This window comes from Homo sapiens, chromosome 9 (assembly GCF_000001405.40).
Source record: "Homo sapiens chromosome 9, GRCh38.p14 Primary Assembly".
Classification (NCBI taxonomy): Eukaryota; Metazoa; Chordata; class Mammalia; order Primates; family Hominidae; genus Homo; species Homo sapiens.
The window spans coordinates 134987375-134995743 of record NC_000009.12 but is presented as its reverse complement, the minus strand read 5'-3'; the positions used below and the strand labels follow the sequence as shown (position 1 = coordinate 134995743).

At 57.0% G+C, this 8369-nt stretch overlaps 1 long non-coding RNA gene across 1 annotated transcript; it reads right to left on the bottom strand.

The window, feature by feature from the left end:
- Positions 1–1697: 1697 nt before the first annotated feature.
- On the bottom strand, positions 1698–3454 carry LOC124902303 (uncharacterized). The gene is made up of 2 exons (XR_007061847.1): positions 2594–3454; positions 1698–2115 (listed from the first exon to the last, which is right to left on the bottom strand). It is a non-coding gene; the product is annotated as an uncharacterized LOC124902303 (long non-coding RNA).
- Between the last annotated feature and the right edge of the window lie 4915 nt (positions 3455–8369).

Here is an 8369-nt window from a genome sequence, read left to right as displayed (position 1 = left end):
CAAGAGGAGGACCAGTAAGAAGCCTTGGCGTCCACCCTAGAGAGTGCCCGCAGCCTGTGTATGCCTTTGCCAGGCTGCTCAGATTCTGGTGGTGCTGGCAGAGGAAAGGGGGCTGCTGCCCTGAAGAAAGGAGTAGACCTCACTCTGACCCAAGGCTGATCCTCGCGAATGTGGCCCACGTCACCACGTCAGACTCACACCCTCCCAGGCCGTGAGAAAGTGACCACGTTAATGGTGACTCTGGAGAGCTGGCTTTGCCGGTGCAGACTCACCCAACGTCTGCTGGGCAATTCCTATGGGCCAGACGCTGGCCGTAGCTCTTCATCAGCAGGGAATTTTATTCACTGCTTGCAGCAACTCTGGGACCCTGGTGCATGGTATTGCACCTGTGAGTCGGGGTCGGGGAACCAGGTCCCATCAGGGCCCTTCCCAGGCAGGCCTTGTCCTTCCTTAGTCGCAAGGCTTGTCTTCAGTTTATTAACCTCATCCCCTTTGTTAGATGAGGATCAGACCTGGTCTAACCAAGTCCTTTTATTTTGTTCAAGCCTAACTTTCTGCTAATTCCAGCCCAGTTCTTGTTCAGGCATGCAAGCATGGCCCCCACCGCACGTGTGTGTGTTTATGCCCGAGTCCTTAGTGTCGGCCTCTTGCTTGGGAATGCCAGCCCTGCAAGAGCAAGGATCCCATTCACTTGGCACTGTCCCTGGCCCATGGGGGCCTGGAGAGCATCTGTGGTGCCAATGAATAGGCAAATGAATTTGTGGAGCTTCCCAAAGATTGAGACTATTTTTTGGCAATTTTGTATTCCCTTGGAGCCTAACACAGCATGCCCAGCAGGTGCTCAGTAAGAATTTGTTGGGGGGAAGGAGAGGTGGGAGGGAGGTGACAGAGAGATGGAAGAGGAAAGGAGGGAAGGTTCTTTGGAGACGCTGTGCCACACTCACCAGGGTTGCATCCTGCAAAGTCCACTTAGTCTCATGTGAGGACACCTGTGCTATGAAGCTTTGGGCCACACCTGGTTCCCAAGGGGTGGCTTAGACCCCGCGAGATGCCAGGATGCCTTTTTTCTAAGCTGTGTTCCAAGACCTTTGAGAGGTGGTGTCTAGGAGCTGAGCTCTGGGGTCAGCCGGCCTTGCCTCTGGCCCCACCTCTGCTGTCCCCTATGCAGGTGGCCCTGGTAAGCCCCGTGCCCCTGGGAGCCACTTTCCTTGGCTGTCAGATGAGGACTGTGACCCTCCCAGGATGACTGTCAGGGTGAGGGGGGTCGTCCCTCCTGCTTTAGCCCAGAGTTCATCTCGCAGGGTGATGGGGGATGGTGGCAAGTGGGGGAGGGTGGCAAACATGGCAGGAGCATCTGTCTCCTGCCCTAAGTTCTCTCCTCCAGCCCCCAGGCACCGCTCATTGTAAAGGGCCAGAAATATCACCCTTGCAGAAGGAGATGCCTACAGACTCCCTGCAAGAAGGTACATAGCTCCCTAGAGTCTCAGCACTCTGAGCCTGGGGCAGACACATCCTTCCCAGGATGGACTCACGCCACCCTTACACCCACACCTGCAGCTGGGCTGTGTCCTCAGTCCCCGCCTCCAGATTTAGGGGCTCAGTCGCCATGAGGCTTGCTGCGTCTTAGTAATGTGAATCCGAATAACTGTGGTGGCTTGCCAGGGGAGACCTCAATGAAGGAGCAGAGCAGACGGACCTTCAGGGAGGGATGCGATTTATTAAGATTACTCCTAGGTGCACGCTTAAGATTCAGATATTTAAAAACTAGGCTGGGAGGACAGCCAGGGGAATTGGGAAGCTAAGGTGGGTATGAAGTTTTGCCTCCACTCTTGTGGCTGCTGGGGATAAGGGCTTCCCTCCCTGTTCCTGCTGTGCCACTGCCCCAAGTGATCAGCTGCATTGAGGCCCAGGGTAAGCACAGCTTTCTAAGCAGCCATTGGCAAATCCTTGCGGGCGTGAGATTGAGGTCTGCAGAGCTCTCGCGTTCACTTTCTCGTCCACACACGCACAGAGCTGCTGTTTATGGGCTACTTCGCGTTCATGGCAGGCCTGGGAGCGGATTCTCATTATTGTGATTTTGCTTCAGGGGACTGAAGTCCAGAGACGTTGACGTATCTGCCCGGGGTCACACAGTGAAAAAGCAGAGACACTGGCCAGAGTCCCTCTGCTCCCAAAGCCACCCCCATCCCCAGTCTGCATGGATCCCCCCTGCAGGCAGGTCACACTGACCTGACAGATGACCAACACCTGAACCTTTCCGCAAGACATGAGAGCTGTGCGAGGAAAAGATACTGACGAGGCTGTGTTGCCGCTGGGCGACAAGGACATAAGGAAATCTTTATACTCTCCTGCCCATGTCCCAGTATTTTTGATCCTGCCCATGTCCCAGTATTTTTGATCCTGCCCATGTCTCAGTATTTTTGAAGATGCTCATAATTAAAAGTTTGGGGCTGTAAATAAACTCTAGAGAGATGCCTGGGACACGTCCAGAGCTATGGATTTGGGGTTTGAAAGCTCCAGATGAAATGGCAAAATGACAGCTAAAGCAAAGCTCCGCTTGCACTTCCTTGCGACAGAGGAATTTAATTTGTACCTTTTGAGAGCACTTCTTGGCTGTACTGCTCGGATGACGGGAAGCCAGTGCAGACGCCGAGTTTGTTTCGCTGATCCGGAACGTGGGTGGGTCGGCACTCCCGGAGGGCACCAAAGCCTCGCCCGCCCAGGAGACTAAGATGAGCTCAGAGCAGGAAATGTTTTTCCGCCTGGCAGAGGGCCTGGCGCGCACTGGGAGCAAAGCCCTCGATCAGGATTTCACAGAGGGAAGCTCCACGGGTTTCGGAGTCGCTGGAGGGGTGGGGCCCTTTCCGAGTTCACAATGAGGCCCCTGGCGAGGTGGTGGTGAGGGCCCTGCCTCCTACTCCATGTGTGACCTTGAACGGGTGACCTGACTCCTCTGTGCTTCAATATCGTCACCCATGAAACTGCAGCATCTGTGCCGCCCACCTGACAGGCCCCCACAAGGACCGAATGTAATGAAAGCCGTGTCTGGCACTCCGCGAGCACCCGATAAAGTCAGTCAGTCTCTCCGAGGACGATTAGGCCATGCGGCCTCGGAAAGGGGTCTGAGCAGCATTTTGCTAGAAATCTGTAAGGATGTTCACTTGGTGACAACGGTACTTAGAACTGGAGCCCCACCTTCCCAGAGACCGTCCGCGGCGGGGGGGGGGGGGGCCCTTCCTCCTTCCAGGAGACCCTCTGCAGGGACTTTTTCCTCCTTCCGGGAGACCCTCCGTGGGGGGGGGCCTCTTCCTCCTTCCGGGAGACCCTCTGCCGGGGCGGGGGGCTCCCTCGCCTTCTGGGGCCTTCCTCCTTCCGGGAGACCCTCCGCCGGGGGGCCTTCCTCCTTCCGGGAGACCCTCCGCCGGGGGGCGCTCCCTCCTTCCTGGAGACCCTCCGCGGGGAGGGGGGTCCTTCCTCCTTCCGGGAGACCCTCCGTGGGGTGGCCTCTTCCTCCTTCCTGGAGACCCTCCACCGGGGAGCCCCTTCCTCCTTCCGGGAGACCCTCTGCAGGGGATTTTTCCTCCTTCTGGGAGACCCTCCGTCTCAGGGGGCCTCCCTCCCAGCCCTTCCCCAGCATGCCCAGTTGCAGAGGGTGCATTAGATCCTCCACCTGCGTTCAGTCTCACTGGTCTTATTGCTTCTTAAGCTGCTTCCTTTGCCGACAGCTGGGCTTTTCTAATTTTGTGCCTGGGTCCTGGGCTGACCTGACCATTCCGACCTCATGAACGTCAGGAAAAGAAGGGGTGGTGGGGGGATGGGGGTGCCTCAAACCTCCCAGGGACTCAGCAGCCATCCTTGAATTTGTACAAAAGGGGTTTATGGTTTTCGTAGTAAATTAATTTGAAGACTTAGCGCTTAATGAAATCGGCTTCTTGAGCCTCTGTGTATCTCAGTTTGGTGTGGGAACCCACCTTGAATATCACAAGAGATTTTCGCTGTGGAGTTCCAGAAGGGACCCCCCGTCTCTCTTCTCTGACACCTGCGGCCGGAACCTGGCCCAAGGCCTCACTGGCAGCTCTGAGGATTTAGTTCCAGGCAGGACCTGAGGCCGAGACAAGCAGCAGCAGATCCATGGCCAGCCCAGCGCCACAGGACCCTTCGCTTTGAGAGGTGACAGCGTGCTGGCAGTCCTCAGAGCCCTCGCTTGCTCTCGGCACCTCCTCTGCCTGGCAGCACTTGAGCCCTTCAGCCCACCACTGCTCTGTGGGAGCCCCTTTCTGGGCTGGCCAAGGCTGGAGCCCACTCCGTCAGCTTGCAGGGAGGTGTGGAGGGAAAGGCTCGAGCGGGAACTGGGGCTGCGTGCGGCGCTTGCGGGCCAGCTGGACTTCCGGGTGGGGGTGGGCTTGGCGGCCCCGCACTCGGAGCAGTCGGCCAGCCCTGCTGGCTCCGGGCAATGAGGGACTTAGCACCCGGGCCAGCAGCTGCAGAGGGTGTACTGGGTCCCCCAGCAGTGCCAGCCCACTGGCGCTGCGCTCCATTTCTCGCCGGGCCTTAGCTGCCTTCCCACGGGGCAGGCCTCGGGACCTGCAGCCCGCCATGCCTGAGCCTCCCCCGGCTCCGTGGGTTCCTGTGCAGCCCGAGCTTCCCCGACGAGCGCCGCCCCCTGCTCCACTGTGCCCGGTCCCATCGACCACCCAAGGGCTGAGGCATGCGGGCGCACGGCACCGGGACTGGCAGGCAGCTCCACCTGCAGCCCCAGTGCGGGATCCACTGGGTGAAGCCAGCTGGGCTCCTGAGTCTGGTGGGGCTTTGGAGGACCTTTATGTCTAGCTCAGGGATTATAAATACACCAATCGGCACCCTGTGTCTAGCTCAAGGTTTGTAAACACACCAATCAGCACCCTGTGTCTAGCTCAGGGTTTGTGAATGCACCAATCCACACTCTGTATCTGGCTACTCTGGTGGGGCCTTGGAGAACCTTTGTGTGGATACTCTGTATCTAACTAATCTGATGGGGACGTGGAGAACCTTTGTGTCTAGCTCAGGGATTGTAAACGCACCAATCAAAACAGACCACTGGGCTCTACCAATCAGCAGGATGTGGGTGGGGCCAGATAAGACAATAAAAGCAGGCTGCCTGAGCCAGCAGTGGCAACCCTCTCGGGTTCCCTTCCACAGTGTGGAAGCTCTGTTCTTTCACTCTTTGCAATAAATCTTGCTACTGCTCACTGTTTGGGTCCACACTGCTTTTATGAGCTGTAACACTCACCGCGAAGATCTGCAGCTTCTCTCCTGAAGCCAGCGAGACCAAGAGCCCACCGGGAGAAGCGAACAACTCCAGATGCTCTGCCTTAAGAGCTGTAACACTCACCGCGAAGGTCTGCAGCTTCACTCCTGAGCCAGCGAGACCGCGAACCCTCCAGAAGGAAGAAACTCCAAACACATCCGAACATCAGAAGGAGCAAACTCCAGACGCACCACCTTAAGAGCTGTAACACTCACCGCGAGGGTCCGCGGCTTCATTCTTGAAGTCAGTGAGACCAAGAACCCACCAATTCCGAACACAGCTTCACAGAGAAGCCTGGACTTCATCAAGCTCGAAATACCTGCCCGAGAGCAGGAAACAGGGGACTTCGCTCTTCAAAGTGCCTCTCACGTTGTTGGAGAAAAACGGGCTCCAAATAAACTCTAAAAAGAAATGGAAAAAGAGAGGTGAAGAGAAGTCGGGCTGGGCCCAGGCTGGCCAGGGTGGCCCTGCCTTTCACCCACCTCTCCCCCAGGGCTGTTGTGGTGCAAGGCGAGAGGTCTTCATCAGCAGGATGCCCAGCCAGGCAGAAGCAGAAACCTGCCCAGCTTGCTGGATCTCTGATGGGTGATTCTGCCCCAAAACCTGGCCAAGGACTCCGGGCCAGGAGGCTGGCCACCTGTGGTGGGTCGTGGCCTAGTCAGGGGACCTTCAAAAGACGCGTTTTGAGTTTTCTTTTTGCAGCATGCCTCTACACCAGGCACTGGGACGTGGAAATAAATGTGGCATCCCTGCACCGGTGCCCTCAGGGGTGAGTGGGAAGCCAGGCATGTGCACACAGGTCACACGTGGACCACGTGCCCCGTGGTGAGCTGGGCCCTCTGCAGATCCAGGGGTATAGTGGAGAGTAGGGAGAGGTCAGCACAGCTTCCTGGGGAGAGGAGGAAGGCAGCCGTCCTTCCATCCAGCATCTGCAGGAGCTCCCCACGATGTGCCCAGGCTCATCCCACCCTCCCAGCCCAGTTCCGGTTTCCAGCGCCACCTGCCAAGCACAGCACTGTTCACCTCCCCACTCGCGGGGTGGACAGTGGGCACCTCGTGCTGGGGCTGGCATCGCCCTCGGCACCATCTTGAATCGGTGGCAGTGATCTCTGCATGAGATTTCAGTCTCCTACCATTAGGCAGCGGCCCCACTTCCTCAGTCTCCCCTCACACCCCTGACCAGGACACTCCTTCCTGTGTGGCCACAAGCTGCCTCGACCTGCAGAGTAATGTTTGTTTTCCCCAATCCTGCTAAGTGTCCAGCCCCCACCCCCTCCCGATTTTAAAAGCACCTGCCTGTTAGTGTCTGAAAAGACAGCAGATACAGTGGTCGGTGCTGTGGGTTTGGGAGACCCCCGTTCATTCACTGCCCCTGACACACACACCGCTGAAGAGCAGAAGGCACCTCACACAGTCTGGACACCCCTCCGAACCTCATGTTCAAACGGGACCCCAGTGTTGGAAGGGCGCCTGGTGGGAGGTGTCTAGGTCACGGGAGCAGATCCCTCATGGCTAGGCACTGTGCTGGCCATAGTGAATGAGTTCTCGTGAGGTCTGGCTGCTGAAAGTGTGCGCCATCTGCCCCCGGCCCCTGCCTCTGCCTCTTGCTCCTGCTCTGGCCGTGTGACGTGCCTGCCCCTGCCTTGCCTTCCACCTTGAATAACAGCTCCCTGAGGCCTCTCCAGAAGCTGAGCAGGTACCAGTGCCACGCTTGTATAGCCTGCAGAAGTGTGAGCCAACTACACCTCTCTTCTTTATCAATCACCCAGCCCCAGGCATTTCATAACATCAAGGCAAAAACAGACTAACGTAGTACCCAGGTCTCTGATCCCTGGGCCCAAACATATCCCAACACAAGCTCCCGGGAGGGAGGCGGCCCCGTTGCTCCCATCTCTCTGAATCAGGTGGGTGGGGGGCCTGCTTGGGTGTCTGGAGGCCACAGCAGAGGCTGGGGAAGGCGGCTACTGAGCCCCAGCTCGGGGGACCCCCCTCCTACTGGGGGCAGATGGAGGGAAGTTGGCTTTGGGTCTGCCCTTCCCCGTGGGGTAAAGGACCAGGCGCCATTTCAGCCAGCTTGTCACTAGGAAGGCCAAAACCAGAGAATGGGGCCACATCACAGAAAATCCCAATTTCCACGTGGAAAAGTTGTGGCTTCCGGCTGAGTGCAGCTAGCCCAGATCCTGACAGACCAGAGCGACGCCACTGCTGGTGGAGATTGACAGAGAATATCCCGGGCTTTGGTGGGAAGAGAATGGAGAAAGCAGGGAGGGTGGGGGCAGAAGCAAGGTCAGTGCTGCTCTCACGGCCCACATCCTCTCCAGGCAGTGGCAGAGAAGAGGCCAGATGTGTCCTGGGCACCTGCATATGCCTCTGCTCTCACGTGACCTGCACACATGCCAAGGCCAGGTGGCTTCTCACCTGCCATTCCCAGGGTGGGGAAGGCCAAGGGTTCAGGCTGCTCCCCCGTCACTACTCAAGGAGGAGATGACCCCTGCTCCCTGCCCACTGCAGAGAAAGCAGGGACCCCCAAGAGTCTCCCTGTATTTCTGAGCCAGGTGACCCTTCACACAAGTCACCTTGGTCTTTTCTGGGGAGCCTTGTTCTATCACTTCTTCCCTAACTTCTTCTGTCATTTTGCAATTGCTCTGCCAGCAAGGGCATTATTTGTCGATGCTCCTCAGGCATTATTTGATTAAGAGGTTGCAATGCCATTTTAGAAGCAAAGTCCTGGAATAATCCGTATTGATAGCTGGGAGAAATACCAATTGGTGCCCCTCCATAGCAGGAAGCTGGATGAAAACCCAGGATGCCACCCACGTCTCACCGCTCAGTTGGAGTCCCTGCACACTAAGCTATGTGCCAAGGCACCCGAGTGAGTTACTTCTCACTGCTGGGACGGCGGCCTTGGAATTCCAGTAATGCAAATTGTCCAACCCTTTCCCTTCACTAAGGGGGTCTCCATATTTAGAGCAAACAACTACTTACTGAGTTTTCACTCTGTCTAAATTCCCAATCCTGGATCATTCACAATCTAGTTGTGAAAGTAGAATGTTTGCCCACTAAACAGCAACAACTACAAAGA